Raw genomic sequence first — 26638 nt, forward strand, 5'->3', positions numbered from 1 at the left:
TTTGGGAGAGTCAGCTCCATGGCTAAGATTTCCATGCACCCTTTCCTTCCTCCCCATCAGCCCACCCCAGCACACATGCTTTGCTTATCAGTGGACCTTTGTGGCCTTTTTCTGAACAGCACTCAGCAGTACTATACTACCTGGATAGCTTTTCTTGATTTACATATTTTTGCATAATAGGATGTAGAAAAATTAGACGAAATTGCCTGTAGGTGCGGTGGGAGTTAGCGCACTTCAAGGAGGTTAATCATCCTATTCTTGGACAAAAATCTGTATAGAAGAAGAAAAGGGTTACTGTTTAGAGAGCTAAATAAGAATGACTTTAATATATGTGTTTGTGAAATGGTTACAGTTTATTAACCTTTTTTGTGTACTTACTATCTGACACGCTTTTCTTTCGGAAAGAGATAATCAGAATAAAAGGAACATTAAGATGAGATGAGATGACTGTTACAGGTCCTCCCTGAAATGATCAGGGCAACCCCATTGGCATGTTCACATGGTTACTCTGTGGATGTCATCAGGGAAGGAAGGGAGCTCGGATTCCAGCATGGTACAGGGAGTGTTTATCAGGGATGGAGGAAGAAGAGTGTGACAGGTCAGCTTGACAGGATTGCTCAGTAGCGAGAAGTATGAGTCACTTGGCTTACGTAGCTTGATGAGGATATCTTCTGGGGATGGGTATGTATTTTCTCCTTCAGCGATTCATGAGTCAGCTATTCAAGCCCTTCATGCGGTGTGTGAACCTCTTTGGAAAGCTCCCAGTCTTAACCTTGTAAAACTTTGCTGACACAGAACTCGCTGTCTCCCAAGTTAAACTGCTCAAGCATTGTGTAACTTCAGCAATTCGGAAGGCTTTTCCCCTCCTTACATTCAGCTGAGATATACTTTCTTCTCAAGCTAAATTCCCAGTTTTAACCTCTGGGGTCAAATACAAGGTTTACAAGGTTATTCCTCTTCCACTTGATATGGTTTTGGAACTTAAAAATTGATACTGTGGCTTGCTGGGTTTCTTTCTAGTTCCTTCAGTTGCATGACTTAGCTTTGAATGTTCCCGGTCACAGTCTTCGGAGACACTTCCGTTTCTCAGTAATTCTCTTACTGCAGAACTGAAATGTAATGCCCTAGCATGTCCCAGTCAATCAGGACTGCAGTTGGGTTAGCATCTTCCTCCTTCTGGATGTGCCCTGTGTTTGTTAATCCTGTCTAAAAGGTTATCAGCTTGCAATCATGGCCTGTGGTGGCCTCATCCTAGGCTTCCTGTTTATGTTGACCTTTTGCATTGCTCCTCCTGAGGCATACAGTCTCCATTGCTTGTCTTGTGTAGCTGCTTTTTAAAACATAGGAACTGCTTGATAGTTTTTTCTGTTGAATCTAGTATTACTGGTCTCTTTGTTTCCAACCTGCTGAAAGCATCTTGGATGCACTTCTTGCTCAGGAAATTAATCAGTATCTCCCCCAGTTTCATGTCCTCTGCTGATGAAAACAAAGCCGGTGCTAACAGTTACTGAATTAGAGCTCTGACACATGCTATTAGAAACATTTTTGTAGTTTTAAAGTGGTGGATCTCAACCTCAAGCAATTTTGGCCCGAAGGGGACATTTGGTAGTGTCTAGAGACAGTTTTGGTGATCCCCACTGGGGGTGGTGGTACTGCTGGTATGTATCTAGTAGGTAGAGGCCGGGGTGATGTTGAACATCTTACAGTGCACAGGGCAATCCCTCCACAACAACGACTTAGCAGTCCCCAAATGCTAATAGTGCTGAGATTGAGAAGCCGTCAGCAGATTAATGTAGTTCTACTAACAGTGTCTGTTGGGTTGGATGTTTTTAATCTTGTTAATCAGACGTACTATATCAGCATGTAAGACTGAATTCTCAAAGTGTGAACTGGGGTCACCTGAGACCTTTTCAGGGTTCTGTGAGGTGAGAGCTATTTTTCTGATAATTGCCCTTTTCACTCATTCCTTAAGATTGTAGTGTGGTGTTTTCCAGAGGCGATGATATTAAGACATTGAATTAAAACATTGAATGCAGAAGGAGACAGAGAGTCCGCTGTCTACTGTTAAGTCGGACGTTAAAGAGATTTGCAAAATGTGATAAAATGCCCTTCTCACTAAATTATTTTTGCTTTGGAAAAATCATTATGTTAATATGTAATGGTTTAGTATTAAATAATACATATATTTAAAAGTTTTAAATTTTTTTTACTGTCAAGATCAACAGATAATCCACATGATCAGAAGTTCTTTGGGGGAAAAAAACAAAAAAGTTATTTGAGATCCTCAATACTTCTCTTTTTTCTCTTTTTTTTTTTTGAGATGGAGTCTTGCTTTGTCGCTCAGCTGGAGTGCAGTGGTGTAATATAGGCCCACTGCAACCTCTGGCCTCCCAGGTTCAAGTGATTCTCCTGCCTCAGCCTCCCATGTAGCTGGGATTACAGGTGCACACCACCATGCTTGGCTAATTTTTGTATTTTTAGTAGAGACAGGGTTTCACCATGTTGGCCAGTCTGGTCTCCAACTCCTGACCTCAAGTGATCTGCCCACCTTGGCTTCCCAAAGTGCTGGGATTATAGCCATGAGGCGCCATGCCTGGCCGAGATCCTCAATAATTTATAAGAGTATAAAGTCTTGAGGTAAAAAATGTTAAGATCCTCTGATCTAGGCTATATTTCTTCATTTTATGTGCAAGGATATAATGTGTTAACAATTTTAAAGGCCTTGTTAGAATGTAGATGTACAGAATTTTGATGTTTCCCAGTCTGGAAGCCCTGTACTGAAAGAAATTAATTCACATGTTTCTAGTGAACTTGTAGTAGTTTCTGGTTATCTTTTTCTACATTTCCAGATGGTCACCGTTTTTTAAGTAATCAATCCAGAGCCTAATTTGGGATCTCCATCTAGTCAGATGGACTAACTCAGCTTCAATTTCCTCTCCTCACTTTGTGCATAATTTTTGTTGCAGTTAGGAATGAGTGTTTGAAATTGCCTTTGGCCCTTTGAGTCGAGTTTCCTTTTGGGACCTCAAGTGTTGGAAGCGTAGGTGACTTTATTCAGAACGTTGTGAAGGCTGCTTTTGTGAAACCTCAGTTTCTGGTATCTGAATAAGGAACAGTTCTGTTCCTTAGAGTGAATATATACCTTGATTCCCAAACATTTTTAATTTTTGAAATTAAATTTCCTATAGTTAACTAATCAAAACTTAATAGATGTCTGTGTTTTGGTCTTAGTTTAAGTATACAGTTTTTAGTTATGTTTTCCATTCCCCTCCACTTTTTTTTTGTCATGAGGTTGGAGGGAGAATGAAGTTCTGCCCTATGAATGAAGTAGGTGAGGAATATAGTGATTAAATGGTATACCTGTGTTAATAACATGATGTTGGAGATTCCAGATATCTCTGGTCTGGTGCACCCCTTTTAGCTGGATCAGGAGACTGAGCTATAGAGAAGTTAAGTTACTCTTTCAAGACCACAGTGCATTTAAATAGCAATGAACATTATGATCTTGTGTCCTTTTATTAGTAATATTGTGTACCAGTGTTTAATCCCTTTAACCATTGGTTTTTTCATCTATATCATTAGAATAAAACTATCAACCTTGTAGGGTTGATCATATTATCTTTCATACCCTTTTTTTGGTTGAAAAATTTTAGACCCACAGAAAGGTTGCAAGAATGTTTACAATAAACATTGTATACCCTTTATAGTATAATTCTATTATTGCTATTTTTGTTGAATAATTTGAGACTAAGTTCCTTTATATCATAACCCTTCATCCCTAAATATTTGAATATGTGTCTCCTAAAAACAAGGACAAATTCAGGAAATTTGACATGGTCACAATACTGTTATCTATATATCATGACTCTAATTGTGGCCCGTAGTCCAACACATTGACATTAACTGGGAATTTGTTAGAATTGAAGACTATTGGGCTGAATCAGAATCTGCATTTGAATAAGAACACCAGGTGATTTGTGTGTGTGTAAATGTTTGAGATGTACTGCTCTAATGGTAGTCCATATTTATACTTCCCCGTTGTCAAATGACATTTTTAATAGAAAAATTGCCCCAATCCAGGATCATACATTATATTTAATAATTGCCATGCCTTCTTAGTCTACTTTAACTTAGAATAGTTTCTCAGACTTAGTCTTTCATGACATTGGCACTTCTGAAGTGTACAGGACAATTGTTTTATAAAATAATCATTACTTTGACTCTTCACAATTAGATTCAAGTTACATATTTTTGGGAGGTACATAGATGATGCTGATTGTTCTAAGTGCATCACAACAAGAGGCACATGACATCAGTTTGTTCCATTATTGGTGAAATTGATCCCTTGGTTGGGTGTTACTCTGGTTATTTATCAGAGCATAGCACATCACCCCAAAATTTAGTGTTTTGAAACAATCTTGTTATTTTCATGATTATAGAGACAAATTCAGGCAGGGCAGGGCGAGTTTAGCTTGTCTCTTCTCCTTGATGTCTAGAGCTTCAGCTGGGAAATTTTGAATAGCTGTGGGCTGGAATCATCTGGAGGCTTCTGCACTCACATCTGGTGCCTAGGCTGGGCTGACTCACAGGCTGGGCTCCCCTGGGACTGTTGAGCACGGCACCTATGTGTGGCATCTTCATGTAGCTTGAGCTTCCTCACAGACATGGCTGCCTAAGGGCTCCAAGTGAGTGTTCCAGCAAACAAGCTAGAGACTGTAGGGCCTTTCATGATTGAGCATCAGAAGTCATATATAGTTCACTTTCACATCAGCTATTGATTGAAGCAGTCAGGAGCCTGTGCAGATTTGGGAAATCTGGGGCAGGGAGATAGACTCCACCTCTTGACGGAAAGAGTGTCAGAGAATTTGTGGCCATGTTTTAAAATTGCCACAGGTAGTGACTGCTTTATTTCCTAATTGTAAATATAGCCATTTTCTCTTTGGAATTAACTGTAATCTATCAGGAGACACCCTGAGAATATTTAAGAATCCTGTTCCTTGGCATCTTTAGCCAGTTAGTTTTAGCATTAATTGTTGGCTCCTTTATGTTTATTAGTTGGGATTTGAATTACATAAAAATCTATGTGCTAATCCCCCAGTAACTAAACGCGTAAGAATAACAGATAGTGCTGGGTTCTTAAAATCCCTTCTTGGACAAAGATAAGCATGCATGACCCAATTTGACAGGTGGGCCATGTCTTACTGATGATAGTGCCAAACAATTATTAGCATGTCGACAGTAATACAGATGAAGGCATTCTACCTTCCTGTGTGTGTGGTTCTATGCCTATTATCCTGACTGTTCTCTCTCCTTTCAGTTAAGGGGATGTGCCTGACAGTGTGTCATTACTTCATTTATTATGATTGCAAACATTTATGTCAAAGCTGGTCCAAGGCCTAAGTGAAGTGATACCCATTGAGAGAACTCTCCCCCTGTGCTTTTGAGACATGGCTGCTATGTCTGAGAGGCAGTGAGTTCCAAACCAATAGGTCATCCAAGAATCTAAGCAGGAACATTTATACCTTTTAAGGTGCAGGAGCGAGGTAAAGATTATGCTTTGTCGTCATATATAAGACTTCTTAAACTGAATTGTGCAGTTCACACTGAAGGAGAGGCTGGTGCCTGGCACCAGTATGTGTGACCTCCACATAGACTTAAGTTGACAGGAGTGAGAGGGGGAACAGTGTGCTGTTTGAAATGTTTTTAAAATGTATTACTGCAGATTTTCTAAGCCCTTGTTTAGAAACATTTCGGTTGGATGGTAAGATCTACCTGTGTCCTAATGTGTTTAGAAATTGAATCTTGCCTCAAAGTTTAGTCTTAATAGATATATTAAGTTGGTGTAAAAGTAATTGTAAAAACCACAGTTACTGTTGCATCAACCCATATATTGCAGAGGCCACGTCTCATGTATAACCAGGGGCTGAATAAATTCTAGGAACCTGAGGTCCATATATAGTTGTATTAAATATATTGACTGTTTTCTTCCTTATGATGACAAAATGTTTTAAGAAAAGAAAAAGACCCTAAAGAATAGTCACCAAAATTTTGTAGAAATGTTCCTTTGTAGGGGATGGTGGGTATCTGTCTGGTTTTTTTTTTTTTTTTAAACCTTCTTTAAAGAGCTGTTTTGTGTTTGCCAACATTTCTACAAGGAATATAATGTGTATTATCACCTTTGTAACATGAATAAATTGTAATTTGGGAAAAAAATGTTTATCAATTAAAGCAAAGTGTTCCTATAAATTTTAGAAACAGTAATTCAGTATGAAGGCTGATACTAATCTGCCCCCCACCTTCAGGGCAGCCTGTCCTAAAGTGCCACCATTGACCACTTTCAAAACATGGATTTACTTTAGGCATTTTATTTTTATTAGAGCTGAAATGCAAATGGAAAAAAGAAAGTATTGGATTCTCTCTTAAATATGTAAGTCATTCCTGTAAACGTGTACTTGGAAAAGGTTTCAGATGATTCTGATAAATACATATACCTGCCTTCAGGGGATGTGTTCTTCATTGTGACTAAAATTCACACATTTCCTTTTGGAGAATGAAGAGGTCCATGGCTTATTTTTTCTTTCTAGGAAAAGTTATGCCTGTAATCCCAGCACTTTGGGAGGCTGGGGCAGGTGGATCATGAGGGCAGGAGATCGAGACCATCCTGGCTAACACGGTGAAATGCTGTCTCTACTAAAAATACAAAAAATTAGCCGGGCATGGTGGCGGGCGCCTGTAGTCCCAGCTACTTGGGAGGCTGAGGCAGGAGAATGGCGTGAACCCGGGAGACGGAGCTTGCAGTGAGCTGAGGTTGCGCCACTGCACTTCAACCTGGGTGACAGAGCGAGACTCCATCTCAAAAAAAAGGAAAAGTTACTCTAGCCTACCCAAATGACTAGGGGTCATGGCTTGTATTCCAAAAGAAAAATAGCATTCACGTTGGAAATTTCATGAGATGATGAGTCAGTTAATTCTAAATGTATTTACTTATACTCAGTTTAAAGTTTCACCAGTGTCATTTAAGGAAGACTCTTTTTTATCAGGGTTCTCACTAGCCCAGGAGAGGAAGTCCTCTTCTTGGGTATCCTCAGGACTTTGGGACTGCCAATTTTACATTTACTACTTTTTGATCTTCTGTGCTGCTAGTGGCACCCAGTGATTTTTAAGGGAAGGCTTGAGGCTCTGAAAGAAGGGTGAAAAGAGAGGAGAAAAGGAACCTCAAAAGAAGTTGTAACCAACATCAAAGAAGGAGGAAGAAGAGGAGAAAAAAAGGAATGTTGTGTATGGACTATACCTTATAGTTGACATAGAGTATATTTTATTAATGTTAGTCTAGGCGTTTATTACTGAAATGTAAACTTTTTGTTTGCATGTGAGCAAAGGACACATTCAAAAAAGGCTTTGGCTTTTTACTCAGCGAAGAGTATTTGTAGACATTTGGGTTATGAAAGTCAACATTACAGCTATATTTGGGGAAGTGTATTCTTCTGACTTCAGAAATCGTATGCTGTGTTTTCCAAATGTTTGCAGGTGCAAATTGATAAAACTGCACCTGGAGTGTTTTTAAAGGTTTGCAAACCAGAAAACAACATTTTATAATTGGGGATATATGTTCACACCGTGAACATAACAGTGATGCAGCTTTGGCTTAATCAGGAGAGGTTCACCTGATATAGATGGGGAGAAAGTTTACATAGTGAAAATTTCTTTAATGCCATTTGGTTCTGAGCGTATTATCAAAGTTATTATTCCTTCTGTTGGTCTTTGTGAAACACTGGAAGAAGCAGGGCACTGATGTTGCATCCCTAGTTAGTGGCACTGAAAATGCTATGGGTGCAATAGGTAGTTCTGGAATGTGTTGTACTTTATAAAGTCTGGTTGATAAAGATTGTCAATATGCTGAAACCTTTAATGCAAAAACCAAAGTCTGCTATGCATCACTATTTAGCGTATAGAGTGCTACCGAAATCAATATGGTATGTCCCACTGGAACTTGGGAAAGGAGTCTAAAAATGTTTCCTGAAATAAAACATAAACAAAATTAGAAAAACAGAAACTCTACCAATTTGATATATTGTAGAAAAGTACTTTTTTCTTCTTTTAGTTTTAGTTGTAAACCTAAGTTGAAGTTGTTTTTTGAAAAGCTTATGCTGAGTCAGGGCCTGAGCCTGTGGGATGGGTGACCACTGGCAGGGAAATATCTCCTGTTCCCTTATTCCCTCTCTTTTCTCCTGGCTGCCTTTCTCTAGTCTCCTGTGACATGGTAGAGAGGGCCTCATACTGATAGGTAGCAGCAGGACTCCAAACAGGGCCCTTCATTTGCTCTAATGTCAGCCTCTTGCGTCTGTAATGCATAGGAAATCACTATGAGGAATTTCAGCTATTCAGCAAAATCTCCCCAGAAGAGGAAGTACATGCATGAGGGGTACTTTGTTGGAAAGAAGGGGTCAAAGCCGGCAAGATAGGAAGTAGCAGTTGGCTGTGAGGCCTGTTCTGGGAGTAAGGTCTGACTGCCACTGACTAGTGGTATGAATATGAGCAAATCTTTAACCACAGGGCCTCAGTTTGCTCAACTGTGAAATAATGGGCTTGGCCTAAGGGATAACTAGGATACTTTCCAGCTCCAAGATTCTGAGTTTTAGTGAACCAGAACAAACGTGAAACTGTAGAATATTTCCAGCCTCAAGCCTGAACCCGACTGGTATTTTACTGTCAGACCCTGTCGTCAATTCTAGTTAAATTTTCTAGAAAAGACCCTCATTTAGTCATGGTGATTCAAGGACAGAGAGTCGGAAAAGGTTTTCATTGCTTTCTCTCTGTACTGTTCACGTGGTAGCTACTCTGAGGTTAAGTCGTAGGTCGAAGTTCAGGTTGCCTGGGAGTGAACCTAGTCAAACAACCCCAAGGTGATCAGGGTTTGCTTAAACCTGTAGACTCCAAAGCTCAAAGTTGTATTTGGCCATTTTGTAACTATGCTCTTTTAGAAAGAAGATCGGACATTTTATTTCTGTCCCTCCTTTCTATGTTAACTTAGGAGAGCCTGCGTTGATTTCTAGCTGTCTTCTGGAAGTACCTCTGTCTGCTTATGGATAAGTGTAGTTCTGTGAAATAAGACATCAGCACAGAGGACACACTGTGAATGGGGCTTGGTATGACTGGGTGATGTTGGAGGCAATGGAACACATTGGTCAAGACATGTACAGTGGAGTGAGGGAAGTGGGTTCAAATCTTTGTAAGTCAAGCACTTGGCATAATGTCAGGCATGTGGCAAGTACCCAAAAGTTGCAACTGTTATTATTTGAGATCATAGGAATATACAAACATAATCTTCTATCATAATAAAGACCAGTGAACATGTTAGTAGAAACATCTTTTTAAAAAAGAATTACTGGAGCTGGATGCAGTGACTCATACCTGTAATCCCAGTGCTTTGAGAGGCTGGGGTGGGAGGGTCACTTGAGACCAGGAGTTTGAGATTAGCCTGGGTAACAAAACGGACCCTGTCTCTACAAAAACGTTAAAAATTACTTGGTTGTGGTGGCACGCGCCTAAAGTCCTAATTACTTAAGAGGCTGAGACAGGAGGATTGCTTGAGCTCAGGAGTTCAAGGCTGCAGCGACCTGTGATTGTGCCACTGCGCTCTATCTTGGGCAATTAGAGCAAGACCTTGTCTCTGAAAGAAAAAAAAAATTGAGGGAAAAAATGCAAATTGTTTTTTTCTCTGTTCTTATAACACAACAATCAACACAGAAAACCTTTGTGTCCAGATGTGTGGGGGTTTTTCCTACACACCAAGCAAGCAGTCAGCTCTGCAGCAAGCACCAGCTAGGTGTCCTCCCATTCAGTTCCAACACCGTCTACCTGGAGGTAGTGCCAGATGCCACAGATTGAGGGCTTAGTCCCCAAGACTGCCCCCTTTTCAGATGCTGGTCGCAGGTCCGGGCCTCCAGAAATTCTGACTGGCTTCCACTTGGGGTTCCCACAACCCCTGCTTTGGTTTTGATTAATTTGCTGGAGTGGCTCACAGAGCTCAAACACATTTACTGATTTGTTATAAGGGACATTGCATACTTTGGGAAGCTGCAGCAGGCAGATCACTTGAGGCCAGGAGTTTAAGACCAGCCTGGGCAACATGGTGAAACCTCATCTCTATTAAAAAAAAAAAAAAAAAAAAAACCAGCTGGGCGTGGTGGTACATGCCTGTAATCCCAGCTACTCGGGAGGCTGAGGCAGGAGAATCGCCTTTTATGGAGACTTCATTGGATGGGCATGATTGATCATCAAGCAGAAATATAATTGTACAAAAAGGGTCTGATCTAATGCTAATGGACTGAAAGAGAAACCCAGCAATGCCTGACTGTTCAGATTCTTCTTGGCCTCTCTGTGCAGCATTCCCTCCTCCAGAATATAGAGCGAGATGCCTTCCGAAATGGAGGTCTTACGACCTAAAGTCAGACAAGGAAGGTCAGAGAATTTATTTTTTTAATAGAAGATTCCAAAATAAAATCTCTGATTAAATTTAAGTCAAAGCAACATCAAATCATTATACATCAAATAATTCATTCCAAAACTAAACAAGTAAAACTATGTTTACCAGGTATAGACAGTACCTGATACCCCCTCACTTGTATCAAAGGTTGTGTGCTACTTTTTCTTTTAATATAAATAATTAATAGGTAAGCCAGGAAGGCCAGCTCTTTAATGCAGGGGAAGATACCTACTTTGGGGAGAGCAGAGAGAGATTCTGTTTTCTGAGGCCTGCTTCCAAGGCCTAAAGCATCCCAACATTATAATGAGAGCTGTGACAGTTATGAGCCAGTAACTATATATATATATATATATATATATATATATGTGTGTGTATGTAAAGGAATTCAGGGAGAGGAAGTGTGATATCATTACATAGATAGATACTGTGGACTTAAGTATTTATTAATTCAGTTCAATCAAATGCAGCAGGTTTAAGTTGTGTGCTAAAGCAAAATTTGCAGAGACCATCTTATATCCTGTTATTGGCAAAGTATTTCTGGCAGAAGTGGTGTAGTCATTTCCACATGTGGTCCCTGGTAACAGAGCATGAAGGACTTGGGGAGGGATTTATATAAATGGCTGAGTCCCATGAGCATAAACATCCATTGTGTTGTGTCTGAGGAATCTGTCACTCTGAACAGCGGTGCCAGACTTCTGTTTGTGCTGGCACTCTTAGGAGACCCGAGTAAGCAAGCACTTCCTTACCTGGCATGCCTACGCGTGGAGTGTTTTTTGTCATTGGATTGTCAGACTTGAGTTTTTCTTATGTTGTAAATACGTAGGTGCTGTGAAGAAATTTTCACCCTGTGGGGAAAAAGTTTTGAATAGATGTAATCTCTTGATTCTCAATATTGCTTAAGATGAGTTCATCTCTCTTAGAACAAAGGCAATGAGAGGTTTGATGCCAGGAAAGTTGGGAGAGCTGGGCAATCTTAGAAAGAGACCTGGGCACTAAGAGGAATTTGCATCCAGGCAGTAGTTCCAGAATTGGCAAATCAGTATTATGTTTGTGTATATATTATATACACATCTTGGCAATGTAGAACAAGATAAGCTACATTTTATCTTCTAGAATTTGATAGCCAAAATCACAGGTCAGAATTTTAAAGTAAACAGTTTTACTATTTCCTCTTCTTGTAGATCTAAAAACAGTGTCCCTTTAAGTCATTCCTGGTGTTTCAGAGAGACCATCAGAGCATGGCTTTGTATCCACAAAAAAAAAAAAAAAGGCTTCAGAACTGGGGGCACTGGAAGACAAAGTAAATGCACATAAAGGTAATGCATTCTCAGAACATGTAGAAGGGGATGGTGAATTTATGTAGCTATTCCCCATTTTACTCTTTCTAAACAGATATAAGACAGTACTAGCTGGTAGTATTTTTCCCTAAGAATTAAATGTTGTTTGTTTCATAAACCTATAATATTTTTATAGTTTGGCAGCAGTGACTTTGGAATGAAAGCCAACTTCAGATGCCAACTCTACCATTTTGAAACCGTGGAGACTTGTGCTAATTGTTTAATTTTTGAGCTTTGTTTATTTGTAAAATGTGTGGAACAGTACTTACCTCAAAGGCTGTTGAGATTATTAAACTGCTTATGAGAAAGCTTGCTACCTAGTAGGTGTTTGTTAAATGTTAAATGTATTCAATGAATTAGGAAGTAATTTATATCCAAAATTTCAGTGCTAAAGTGCAGAAATAAATACAGGAAACAGTTGTTTGATTCCAGGTTACTTGGGAATTTTGAAAAGGTGCTCCACTTGTTACTTTTCTTTAGCCTGTTACTTGATGTCCTTTTCCAGAGCACTTTAGAATAACTTGGCTCAGAGCACTGAATTTGGGGAATATTCAAGACTCCAAGAAATTAGTGCCCTCTAAAATAGCAGTTGAGTGGAGTCATGAGGTCTGAATTCATTTTTGTAATTATTTGCTGTTACAATTATATTATGAATACAAATAGCTACTATTTATTTCTGGCTACTGTGTGCCAGGGACTGTACTGAACACTTTATAAACATTATGTCACTTAATCCCTGTAGTACAGGCATTATGGTTCTCATTGTGCACATGAGAAAATGAGATACACTGTGTTAAGAAATAAGTCTGGCCCGGCATGGGCATGGTGGCTCACACCTGTAATCCCAGCACTTTAGGTGGCAGAGGCGGACGGATCACGAGGTCAGGAGTTAGAGACCAGCCTAACCAACATGGTGAAACCCCATCTCTACTAAAAATACAAAAATTAACTGGGCATGGTGGTGCGTGCCTGTAATCCCAGCTACTCAGGAGGCTGAGGCAGGAGAATCGCTTGAACCCAGGAGGTGGAGGTTGCAGTTAGCCAAGCCGAGCTGAGCCGAGATCGCGCCATTGCACTCCAGCCTGGGTGACAGAGTGAGACTCCACCTAAAAAAAAAAAAACAAAACAAAAAACAAAAAACGTCTAACCTAACCTTCCATAGCTGTTAAGATTTAAAAGCCAGGATAGTGCTGTCTCAGATGAGCATCTGTGATTTGCTACCTGTGTTAATCGGGATGATAGCTTAGCTTTCTGAAATGCTAATACAGGTTGAGTATCCCTTAATGGAAATGCTTGGGACCAGAAGTGTTATGAATTTCAATTTTTTTTGAGCTTTGAATATTTGCATTATGTGTAATAGTTGAGTATCCCACATCTGAAAATCTGAAATTCAAAATGCTCCAATGAGCATTTCCTTTGAATGTCATGTCAGCGCTCAAAAGTTTCAGATTTTGGAGTGTTTCAGATTTCAGATTTTTGGATTTGGGATATTCAGCCTATACAACATAGAGCTTATTGAGGGTGTGGTGTGTATTTAGAATCTTTGACATATTTTATACCTCAGGGCTTGGCAAGGTTCAAGGAATTGATTATATATGTACAGTGACAAATTTTATGAAATAATTTTTCTGGTGTTTTTTTTCCCTTCAGCTTTTAAGTTCTGGGGCTACATGTACAGGATTTGCAGGTTTGTTACATGAACGTGTGGCATGCTGGTTTGCTGCACGTATCAACCCATCACCTAGGTATTAAGCCCAGCATGCATTAGCTATTCTTCCTGATGCTCTCCCTCCCCCTGCCCCGCTGACAGGCCCCAGTGTGTGTTCACCCCAGGTGTCCATGGGTTCTCTTTGTTCAGCTCCTACTTATAAGTGAGAACATGCGTTTTTTGTTTTTTTTTTTATTCCTGCATTAGTGTGCTGAGGATAATGGCTTCCAGCTCCAACCATGTCCCTGCAAAGGACAGGATCTTGTTCCTTTTTATGACTGCATAGTATTCTAATATATATACACCACATTTTCTTTATCCAGTCTATTATTGGTGGGCATTTGGGTTGATTCCATGTCTTTGCTATTGTGAATAATGCTGCAGCAAACATACTCGTGCGTGTATCTTTATAACAGAATGATTTGCGTTCCTTTGGGTATATACCCAGTAATGGGATTGCTGGGTCAAATGGTATTAATATTTCTGTTTCTAAATCTTGGAGGAATCACCACATTGTCTTCCACAGTGGTTGAACTCATTTACACTCCCATTTTCTGGTGTTTTGATTTTGACTTTTGTTCATCCAAGATAAGTGTAAAATAGCTGTAGAATACCTATATCTAAATCACTGTTTCTTAGTCTTGGCTACACAAAAGAATCACCTGAGGAGCTTTAAGATGTAAACCAAAGAAAACAAAACAGACTCCAAAGCCTGTTACTCATTCCCAGATATTCTGATGTGAGCTAAACAGTGCCTTAAGTCTTCTGGAGACCAACCCGGGTTGGACCCAGCCCTGAGATTTGGACTGAGGTGCTGGGAAGGACTGAGATCAGTCCTCTGCAGGGTCTCATTTTGCTTGGTAGTCTGGCTCTGCAGTTTGGGGTTGCCTCCACACCTCACCCCCCACACCCTTTCCCCAACACCCTCACTTCAAACTGGAGGAAAGAGGTGGGGCAGTTTTCAGCATTTGCGCTGTTCCAGTCAGTATGATCCTGTAAGAGGGTCTGTTTGGAAGGTTTTCATCTGTCCATCACCAGTTGTTGGGATATAACTTTTTCATTGCTAATTTATGCTTTGGATATACTGGCTGTGTGTATGGTTTGGTTTTCTATTCTGGTGACATCCTAGAGGCATCTGCCATATTTGTAAACATCAAACATATTAGTAGGTAAGCCAGGGAGCTGTTTTAAATGTCACAGGTGCCATTTTTTTTATTTTTCCAGTGGAGTCATATTTCCTGGCTTTTCTTCTCTCCTTCACTGTTATCGGACTTCTCAATTTAACTGCTCTCCTGTTCCCACCACCCCACAACCTTCTTACATCTGAACAATGACAGATGACAGTAAATCCAGCTGTGGATAATAGTCCAGGCAGCAGAGGATTTTTTAGGCAGATAAGTAGTTTGCTATTGGCCAGAGTGGTCTATTGGAACACAGATTTTGTGGAAACATGGTGTTGGCAGGTTACCAGTTGGAGCAATAAATTAAATTTTCACTAGCACATATTTGTCTACAGTAACTTAAATCATTTTTTAAAAATTTCATTTACACATGAGGGGGCAGTATGGGACTATAAAGCAAATGCTGTCTTTGAAGTAGCTTATTTTTATTGGTATATAATAGTTTTTAGGTGCGAACTTTTTGACTGTGCAATTAAAACTCCAGCATTGTTGTTAGTTGTTCAGCAATACACATATGTAAGTGATATACCCTCACTTGTATCGAAGGTTGTGTACCACTTTTAATATAAAAAATATAAAACAGTGAGACATTCTCACAGTGCTTTTTGTTTTTAAATTATACATGTGCAGAACGTGCAGGTTCTGGGATAGATGTGCAGAACGTGCAGATTTGTTACATAGGTATACATGTGCCATGGTGGTTTGCTGCATCCATCAACCCGCCCTCTAGGATTTAAGCCCCACATACATTAGGTATTTGTGGGTTTTATATTCATGTTTTGTTTAAAGCTGGCTGGCTTTCTTCCTGTTTTCTGCTTCCACCTGAGGAACGTCAGCCCTTTGGAGATGCAGCTTCTATTAGGTTGATATCTCTAATGTATTTTACTTTATGACTTTATTGAAGAATGAAGGGCCTGCAGCATTGCTGGAAGGAAGCCTCTGAACTGGGGTCTCACAGCTATGGAGGGTCTATTATCAGTCACCTCTGTGTGATATGCTTTCTTTGTGGCACAAATTGCTTTTCTCAAAAGAAGAAATTTGCTAAGCAAAGGAGCAGCACATTTTAATTAATGTTGTTATTACTGATCTGTGAATGACATTATAGATAGATCAAGGTGCTAATATTCTAGGTTTCATAAATGAAAGGGGAAATAAAAGAGGGGTTAGAGGGTATTAAATGAATTGATAAAATCCAGAAAACATTTTATGAAAAATGTAAATGGGAAGCTAGAAAGGTAATTTCATAAGCATAGGCTATTTTTAAATGTGTAAAAAGTATTTGCAGTCATATGTTTCTGTTTACGTAGTTTGGAAAAAATTGAGGCCAACGTTTTGGTGTAAATATAACCTTCCATAAAATTTAATGGAATACTTGTTTTTACTGTTTTATCCTGGCTGCCTCCTTTGGAGATGAAGGGCTGTGGTACTGTCTATATCTGCTAAAGATAGTTTTATTTGTTTAGTTTTGGAATGAATTATTTGATATATAACAATCTGATGTTGTTTTGATTTAAATTTAATCAGAGATTTTATTTTGGAATCTTCTGTTAAAAAAATAAAAGGCTATGACCTCTTCCCTTCATTGGAAGGAATGGATTTTGGGCTCTAGCCTGTCTTGAATGAACTCCAAATCAAATGTTGTGGTGCTGGTTTACTGGAGTAACACACAGGTTTCTGTTCATGGTAAATAATTCCTGTCCTTTATGCTTTGTTGGAAGATTTTTCGGACGCCGCCCGATACTACATTCCCTGAGCCCACCTGCCTGTCAGCATCACCCCCAAATGCGCCACCAAGGCAGTCGAAGAGACAAGGCCAGAGAACCAAGAGGCCCGTGGCCGTCTACAATCTTTGTCTGGAGCTGGAAGATGGTAAGATGTTAATGATATTTTTTGCTTGATAGCATGTTGAGAGTATGGCGTATCATATGTCGTCAGGGCAGGCCACAGTTTTCTGTCATCTGTGTTTTAATTTCTTCTTCCCTTAAGATTATAATTTTGAGATTTACAGGGAGGGTGAAGCTTTTTTGTAAGGGAGAAAACGCAAGTTTCGGTTTTGTGTTTGTCTTTGTTATGCATGGTTCTTTTTTTATTTTTAAAAGACAGCTTAAATTTCTTTTTTGGGAGACTTGTGTGACCTCCTGTGAGGTTACATAACCCTGAGACAAATGGAAGGGGAACTAAAATTAAAGCAGATCTTTTATGAGAGGAGCGGATGGAGTCTCATGTTAAATGCATCTAGATTAAAGGCACAGTTCACCATCGCTCTGGGGTTTATGGCTTGTGTGCCTTACTTGCCCCATTTTTCTGACTTGTTCATCAGGCAGAATGCTTCATCTTATGGCAGGGGTGGCAGGTTGACCTGCCTACCTGGGCCAGGCTTGTGGGAACTGGGCTGCAGTGGAACTCTGGCCAGTGGAAGTTCTCACGTCCCTTCCGAGCCATGCTGTTCAGCTAATCGTTGCCACGTGGCCCTGTTGTTTCAGTGTTGCCAGATTGCCCAGTTTTTACAAAGCCTAGAAATCTGAGTTTTCAACACTGATCCATACAAAACAAGACTGGGAGCTGTGCACACGCCTCCCATTGCTAATTTGTAATCATATGGTTATTGGTGTGGAGAATAAGATGATTCTGGTATCCAAACCTGCGTTTTCAGTATGCAGCCTGAAGCTGTGACTCGTGTTGTGAGGCCTTCCTCTTATTGAGAACATTTGCTGAATTTGAAAGTAGTCTTCATTCTTCTTCTAGTCCTCTTTTTCAAAAAAGAGAATCTTTCATTTATTATCCTTGAGCTACCCAGGTTACCTTAGTTGGGAAGTGTGAGATTAGCAGAGTGAGGAAGGGGATGAGGATGGTGACAGATACCATGCCTTCATCATAGGCAGCTGCATGCACACACCAGGTGGTTAATATCCAGAGATCCACGCAAGCAGGTGACAACTGTCTTCAGCTTACCTGACTTAGAGGTATCTCTAGGAAGACTCGGAATGCCTCCTGTAATGACACAGGGGGACTAAAATGTGGGATTCTTTTATATTGCTTAAGACGTAGGTACATATGATACAAATATTAGTTTTACAATTGGATAGTTAATTTCCAGAGGAAGGGCATGAATCATTACAATTAAGCTATAATTTCAGAACTTCCTTTTAGACACTCATTTCAACTTCTGATCCTAGCTAACTTTTTTATTCTGTCTCTTTCTTACGTTCATTCTTTCTCAGCAGAGTTGTTAATAAGGAGTAAAACTGACTGTTTTGAATTGCACCTTCTCTTACACCTCACTTGTCCTCTGATGGAAGTGTTAATAAATAGTGAAATAAGCAAATGTTGGAAAGTAGGAAAGGAAAAAGAAATCAAGAAGACACAGAATACCTCAAATGGCTCATTGGCCCTTGAGCAAAATGGAATTGACTGTATTTCATGAGGTAGATGACTAAAGAAGGACGTTTTGGTCTTAGGATCACGTCTACTATTTTGATGTTCTTAGCAATGGAATCGTAATATCCAGTCAAATTTATTTAGTGGATTAACCTTTTGATCATTGGATTGCTAAGTGATTATTAATGGTAAGAAGTTTCTGTAGTGGTATTTAGCATATCTCTTATGGGAACACTCAAGCTAGTGTACAATCACAGCCTTCCTAACTTGTAGGTGATAAAATAATTCGTTAAAATTACTTGATTTTTAAGGGAAAGGATTGTCAGCTACTTAACTTCTTTAGTCTGGTTTTTATGTTCATTATTTGCATGATGTTTTGTTCTACATTTTGTATTTCATGAAGTATTTTATAGCTTTATATTCATCCTTGGTTGCAACTTTGGGATTTTTTTTTTTAAGTTGTCAGAATCAGGAAAACTCTTAAGTTTGGTCATAGTGATTTAATCTTATGTTAGAGGTTATATGATAAGATAAAGCAACTTAAAACTATTATTCTCCCTTGCCCTCAGTTTTTTGTAGTTAAGTTTTAGTTGTGTGAAAAAATAGTTATTTCAGAGAGAACAGAGTAGGGTCTATATTTTGTCATAGGCTTTTTATATTTTACATATTCTAAAAAAAAAAGAAAAGTGAATACATTTATTTGAAAGGAAGCATATAGGAAAAGAATACTAAAAAAACTTTCATGTTATTGAATGTCACTTAGCATATTGAAAATTTTACTGCCAGAAGAAGATGTATTCTTGTCATTACGACTTAATTTTTTTTAAAGTAGCTTGAATCATATAATTGTCAAAACGACTTGAAGGTTTCAAAAAGTTTAATTTTTTTGTATTTTTTTCTTATTTTAGTAGTGAAGTGACTTCCCATGTTAATCTAGTTTGTGTTAAAATATGCATTATTATAGACAACTTTGGTTGATTATTTTTCCAAATGTTCTAGTTTATATGGGACAGATAGAAAATGTGTATACAAATATGCTTCTCTCTTCCCTGCCCCCGCCCCGTGACTCATTGTAGTGTAAGTTAATTTGAATTAATTAAATACAGGATGAATAGTTTTTGCTTATAAGTTAGGTGTAGACTATCTGCCAAGATTTGAGGAACTGGATTGGATGACTGGAGATGTTCTTCAGGCCTATGATTTGGTCAGAGATTTGGTATTTGAGTGAAGTGGTTTGTGGTATGTTATTTCTTCTTCTGCACTGAGTAGAGTATGAAACTGTGTGATGTCCCAAACAGCCAGTCTTGGAACACACTCGGAATTGGTTTCAGTTCAGCATCAGGCAGATCAAAAAAGCATCAGCGAAGAGTCAGCAAGCCTGTTAGCATGTGTCACAGTAGGATGGGCCTGGATGCAGAAAACCCAGCATGAAGCCGGAGGGGAGATCCTCTGCTGGGAGACATGTTTTCTGTTATGTTCATTCAACCTCACCCCCACTCCCAATTGAGAGATGACCAGTTTAACTAAATAAACCGAGTGTCTTTACTTTAGTAAAGACTTCCATCGGCATTGGCGCATCTAGCCATACTGTGTATGCTCATTATTTTTCTTTGCAATATATGATTAAATGATATTAAATTTATTTGCAAAAGACTGTAAAATTCTAGTTACTTGCTTAAGCTTCTTTATTGATGATTAATATGAACTAAAATGGATATAGTATCTGGCTAGTTTTCTTAAATTAGAGCAGCTGTTAAATCTTTGTGAGATTCTCATCTTTTATTTTGTTGAAGCCATATTGCTCATTTTTCATATAACATTTAATCTCAACATCAAAGCTGAGTAGATTTGGCTAAGTCAGTTATGAAAAAGCAAAATATGACGTAGGCTGCTAAGTGCTGAAAAGATTAGAAATCAAAGGTTTGCTTTCATTTCATTTTCAAGTTATATCCCATGTTTTTATTTCTTTAGAACTACTAGTAAGATAACTCTAAAAATGTTAAATATATGTTATGTGTTTATTTTCTCCTGCCCCCACTCCAAGTGCATGTCCTTACAATCTCTTACATAAAGAGGGGCTGTTGTGTTTATTGTAATTCCCCCAAATACAAGGAAAGTTCAGGAGGCTATATGAGATCAAAGTGATCTTTGTTATTTTTCATTCAAGGCAGAAGAAATTTTAAGCAAAGGTCTGGGGAGTCGGGGAGAAGAGGATTACCATCTGAATCTCTTTCTTCATGCTAGTTCTAATTTTAAACAAAACTAGACATTTACAGAACTAGGTTTTATATGTATCTTCTGGTGTAATTAAGTATTCTTTGCCTGTCTTCTTTTGTAACATGATACAGCAGCTTATTTAGGCAACTTAAAAAAATATGACTTATAGTGAGTTGAAAACAAAATCATCTTGCAAGCCAATTGGCAAGATTTAATAACATTTGAGTGTTGGTCTTACTTGGGTATCGTCGGGTTGGCACTTTAACATTTGGATCACGAATGTGCTAACTGCAGCACATTTTGTTGAGCATGTGTTATTGTAGTCCTACAGCGTGGTAGATACCGTGATGAGGATACAGAGCCTTCTCAGCAAAAAAATGAAAATACTACTGTTGAGCGGGGCAGAGATGGATAAACAATGACACGTGATCATTTCCTTGTATCCTAAGTAGGAACATATCTTGATCTAGGTGAGTCTCTAAAATCAGAGTAGGACAAATATGTCATATATAGATGTCCTTTCAGCCTGAGTAATATCAAATTAGAACTTTGAATAATTAGCTAAAATTTAAATGTCACACGTCAACGAGAGCAATGCTGATGATATAAATTAGCCGTCTTAGGTAGGTTGAAAGAATTTGGTTTGATTTTGAGGCATGAGCAAGAGAACAGAAAACTAGAAAGCAGGCCACTGTGCGGTCTTTTTAAATGTAGATTTTTAATTCTAAACGATGGAATGCTGTTAGCCATTTGGAAGTTTTTTTTGCCTCTACCATTTATTAGTGGTTTTTATTATACTAGATATGAAAATCAGAATTATACTGCATATCAATTGAAGAGCTTTTATATGCTCCACATCCTGCCACATACGGTTTTTCCTTTAAAGGAGCTAATTTTCTGTTCCCATTCTGTTTGTCACTGCAGTGAAATAAGAAACAACGTGGCAGTAAGTGCCCAGTGCTAGCTCTGAGGAAGGGAAGTCTGTAGGGGGTGCTTTCTGGTTTCCTTGAAATGAGCTGTTTCGGCAGTTGGGTGGGAAAGGGTTTCAGGTAAGGGGAGTAGCGTGACTGAGGCATGGCAGGAGCAGAGAGCCGGAGCCAGGTGTGAGGGTAGGAGATTCCCTGATTAGAAGGGGACAGTGTTGACAGTTGTGAATGATGGGCGGAACTGATGTGAAAGACTTAGACCCAGGAGAGACAGCTTAAGGGACAAATGGGTGGATTGGAGCCTGGGCTGGGGAATATGTATCCTGACTGTATACTCATGGACAAATTGCTTACCCTCTCTAAATCTATTTTATTAGCTACAAAATCAGGGTAATAATAGTATCTACCACTGAGGATGGTTGAGAAGGTTCAGTTGTTAATGTGTTTAGCCTAACGTCTGGCACATAGTAAGCACTCGAACTCTAGCTGCTGCTGTAGGGTAGTATTCTTAAAGCCAGGGAAAGGTGCTTTAGGTTTAAAATGATAAGAGGAACCACTGAATATTTTTCAGCAAGGGAGAAGAGTTGTAACATTTTGAAAATAATACTTAAGAAACTTAATCTGACTTAATCTGCCAGTAGAAATCTGAAAGGCAGCCATGGTAAAAGGCTGATGAAGTAATTTAGGCTGAGGTTGAAGTGGGCTTGAATTAGCACTAGAAAGCAAAAATAAAATGGATATCTGGGAGAGATGTTAAAGCAAATCGGGGACTTCTCAACTGACTAGATGGAGAGATCAAGGCAGATAAAGTGGACATTATTCGCCACAGATTAGGCTCATAGGTAAATCTATCATTGTGTTTATGTTTTTGTTTTTATCTTCAGTTTTTTCCTTGCAGCTTAAAAACAGACCATCTTTCCATCAAAAGGAAGGAAACATGCCATTTTGTTAGTGTGTTCAATACGTATTCTTATGCGTAACTGCTTTGAAAAATAGGTTTAGTAAAAAATGGTGTAGAATGTCTTGGTATAAATAGTGTATATGGAAATAGTGTATATGGGAAAGTCAGTAGAAAGAGAGAAATAGTAAATAGTTACTAAAATATTCCATGTGCTTAGAAAAAGAACAGTCCTATAACTATGAGCAAAGTACAGCTCATTTTTCTCCAATTTTTCCTCACAGGCACATATATCCACGTTCATCCATAGGCTCATATTAAGGGATGGGAGGCCACTCACTCTAGTGAGACCCTTCATTAGAAGCCAAGGATAGCTCACATTCACGGCAGCGGTGCACTCTGTAATCTCAGCTCCCAAGAGAGCATCTATAGAATGCCTCTTTATGAAAATGTGCTTTCATAAGTGAATTGTAACTACTCTGTCTTTCCCACGATGTTAGCAGGACACAAACTATGTGGAGGTGTGAGAAGGACAACTGGAAAACCATTGTTGGCATGGATTTTCGTTGACATTCTGTAGCTATAGATGTTTCCTTGTAAACATGTGATCAGCTTGATGCAGATTATAATCAATCCAGGTAACTGGACTAAGCAGACCTTTGCATTAAGATGGGCAGTCTGTCTTTTCTCCATGCTTACCAATTTTTTTTTGGCATGGCATTTCATGGGTGGGCTCTGGATAATAACTTCCCAAGCCCAGAAGCCCTTTGCCATCTCCTCACAGCAGTGTTATGATTCCTTGACATGGAATTACTGTGTTGTGAAGTTTAATCTAAGACCAGGCTTGAATGTGTGACAGTATATGTAGACAGATTATTTCTTAACTCACTTTTACAATGATGAGATCAATGGGTTGGAAAAGGCAGCCAGAAGATTCAGGGCTGTAATTGAGTTGTGGCGTGCCTAGAAATTATGTGGGATGCCTCCCCTGCGTTGGTGTCTCCCCAGAAACCTCCCGTGAGGCTCAGCATCCCCCCCCCCACCAACCCCAATGCTAGTGACAAAGTGAAAGGCAACTTCTTCTATTGCTTCCTATGTAATTTTAACTGTGCTTCTGTGTGGGATGAACATTTCCCCCTTTCTGTGGAGGAGGAAAAAAAAAAAGCTTATTTAATGCCTTTAAAAAAAATACATAGCTGCTTCTGTGGTGAAAATAAGTTCATGGCAGGTAACTCAGATTTATAGAAGAGAGAAAAATTCTTTAAAGCTTCTCTCCCTGTGGAGTGGGTTTTTTCTCCACTTCTAATAGCTTTTATTTTAATTTCTAGTTCTGAATTCAAGCAGCTGTCACTCTCTTTATAGCCCCCTTTGAAACTCTTGTGGCGTAGGAGGTAGCTGGGCTGTCTAAGAAACATCTTTTCAAACCAACCAAAGTATTGTTTATCCTGAATGAAATGGAATTTTAAGGCTGTCAAGAGTGACTGATTTGAAACGTTTTCTTTGATAGCCAGGAAGATGAGCAGAAATCTTGAGGGAGAAGGTATTTCTCTGTGTAACCAATTCCAAGTGACTTCTGTTGCTCTGAAAACTCTATGGCCCATGATTAAAATGACCATGATCTAAGAGTGTTGTGTACAATTAATAGAACAAAGCCAACCTGTGGCCAGTTCATTTTTACTTACTGAATTCTTACCAGCTGTTGAGGAAAAAGAAATGATGCAAGACTGAGGCAATGCCAGAGAACACTCCTTGTATTTATCATCAGTTGTCTTCAGTTGGCTTTTCTTAGTTCTGGGTTGCATCTTTGCAGCCTGGTTCCCTCTGCATGCTCATTCTACCTTCCTTTGTGCCCTCCTAGGCTGTATTAAGAAGCAGTACAGGGTCACCTTTAGATGAAAGAAAAAAAAGAAAAAAAAAAACCATTTAAGCCTATTAAAATGAAATTTGGGGCCAGGCCTAGTGGCTCACTCCTATAATCCCAGCATGTTGGGTGGCCGAGGTGGGAGGATCAGCTGGGCCTGGGAAGTTGAGGCTGCAGCGAGCCGTGATTATACCACTGCACTCCAGCCTGGGTGACAGATCAAGACCCCATCTCCAACAACAACAACAAAAAAATGAATTTTGAGACTGGCATTTTGGATCTACTAATAGTCTTTAAAATCAGCAGCACAAGTTTTTGAGCATGAAATGTGCTTATGGTAATGATTTTTATTTTTAAAGAGAAATAGTGATTATTTAAGTCTGTTTATTATCTTGGCTATTTTTTAAAAGGTATATTCTTTTTCTTAAAATCTTTAGTAGTTCATGCAGGAGTATGATACAAAATTCAGAGAGTAATAACTTTGAACAGTTATGTATTAGCATATTATATACCAAGTACTGTTATTGGCAATATTTATTAAACTTAGATAATATCCAGAACAATCCTATAGGTAGTATTATTATCCCTATTTTATAGTTCAGGAAACTGAGGCATAGAGAAGGCCAATAACTCACCCACATCTGTGACAAAGCTAGGATGGAACCCAGGCAGTCTGATTCCAGGGTCTGGGTTCTTAATCACTCTACTAGAGTGCTGAACATAAGGGCAACTGTGAACTTCTCTTCCCTGGAGTCAACAGACATTGCCATTTGTCTTGTGGTTCCTTTCAGAGTTACTCTGTGCATTTCTAACAATGCTATTTATTTTTTAATTTTAAGAATGATTCTTAGTTTTTCCATTTAAAAAACAAATGTTTAGTGTTGTAAGGGAGTCACAGCTGTGGTCTTGATCCAGGAGATAAAGGAGAAGGAAGAGCCAGAGAGGACTATGGTTTTCAATGTGGGACATAAAACACTGTAACAAGCATGGGCCCTCCAGGAGAAAAATCCAGGCCTGTTTTTTTATGAGAGAAAGGGGAGGGAAGTGACCCATTTTATTTCAGTGATATTAAGTACTGCAAAAGCATTTTATTGTAATTTATGCCACCACTTACCTAAATGAACAAACATCTGGTCATGGATTGGTTGTAGTGAGGATATCTCAGGTACCTTATGCTTTAACAGGCTGTTAGAAAGTGAACACAATTTGGAATTTGATGCTGCCCAAATATATGAGATTTTGCTGTTGCTTTTCTGTTTTCTCCTCCCACTCCTCTCCCCTTCTTTCTTTATTAAAAATAATTTAAAAAATAAATAATATATTACCATATATGAAAACTCAAAAAGTATAAAAAGATACAAAGTGGAAAGATCTATTCCATCCCATTGACTCAGTGCCTGCGTCTGCAAGCCAGATCTGTAGCCATTGATGTTCATGGGTTGAACCACATAAAATTGCCATCTTTTAGGTAAAAAATTATCTAATATTGGCAATTTCAACTGTCCCCCCCCCCCCCCCCCCCATATTGTAGGCCAAACGTTGTAATCATTGAGAATTTCATGTAGTTCAACTTGTGGTTTCTCAAATCCTTCTAGAGTTGAGATGTAAATTGGATTGATGATCAGTTATTAGCAAGTCTGTACCTTGTGAAACTGCTGTAGGTATATGCCAAACATGATTGAATATCATCATTTTTATATGGTTCAACCTATAGTTTCCTGTCCTTCTAGAATTCTTTATTTTTATATATAAGTGTATTAGGGTGCTCTAAAGAGATAGAATGAATAAGATAGATGTATATATTGAAGGGGAGTTTATTAAGGAGTATTGACTCACATGATCACAAGGTGAAGTCCCACAATAGGCCATCTGCAAGCTGAGGAGCAGGGAAGCTAGTCCAAGTCCCAAAACCTCAAAAGTAGGGAAGCTGACAGTGCAGCCTTCAGTCGGTGACCAAAAGCCCGAAAGCCCACTGGTGTAAGTCCAGGAGTCCAAATCTGAAGAACTTGGACTCTCATGTTCGAGGGCAGGAAACATCCAGCTTGGGAGAAAGATGACGGCTGTGGAAGATTCAGCAAGTCAAGTCCTCCACCTTCTTCTGCCTGCTTTATTCCAGCTGCTCTGGCAGCTGATTAGGTGTTAATCTCCTTTGGCAACACCCTCACCGACACACCCAGGAACAATACTTTGCATCCTTCAATCCAATCATGTTAACACTCAATATTAACCACCACAATAAGCAAATATGAATATGGATTCTTATTTATTCTCTTCTTCACTGAAGAGTCAGTTTGGTACCTTTTTTGTTTTTTTCAAATTTTATAGTATATCTTGTGTTGCTTTTTATGTCAGTACAAAGAGAGCTTTCTCCTTTCTTCACTGCTGTATAGTACTCTCTGCATTCTATTGTATGGATGTACTTATAAGAGGACCTTGTATTCTACAGCCCAGCCAAACACAGTCAGATGATGCAGATGTCTTACTCATCACACATAGGCTTCCAGCCATCCTGGGATGATAAAGATTTGTCCATAGAAATAATGTACAGTATGCTTTTGAATGAAAAAAGCAAGTTTTAAGATGGAATTTTCAAAAATATTCTCACTTTTAAAGGAAAACCTATATATTTAAATATAAGCATACAAG

At 39.0% G+C, this 26638-nt stretch overlaps 1 protein-coding gene across 5 annotated transcripts in view; it reads left to right on the plus strand.

The window, feature by feature from the left end:
• Positions 1 to 26638, plus strand: part of ARHGAP10 (Rho GTPase activating protein 10) — a 340689-nt gene that overhangs the window by 274745 nt on the left and 39306 nt on the right. For all 5 annotated transcript variants that reach the window (NM_024605.4, XM_005263215.4, XM_047416160.1 and 2 more), the window contains one exon: positions 16431 to 16581. In NM_024605.4, the coding sequence (NP_078881.3) occupies positions 16431 to 16581 (151 nt within the window). The remainder of the gene's footprint in view (positions 1 to 16430; positions 16582 to 26638) is intronic.

This window comes from Homo sapiens, chromosome 4 (assembly GCF_000001405.40).
Source record: "Homo sapiens chromosome 4, GRCh38.p14 Primary Assembly".
NCBI classification, from domain to species: domain Eukaryota; kingdom Metazoa; phylum Chordata; class Mammalia; order Primates; family Hominidae; genus Homo; species Homo sapiens.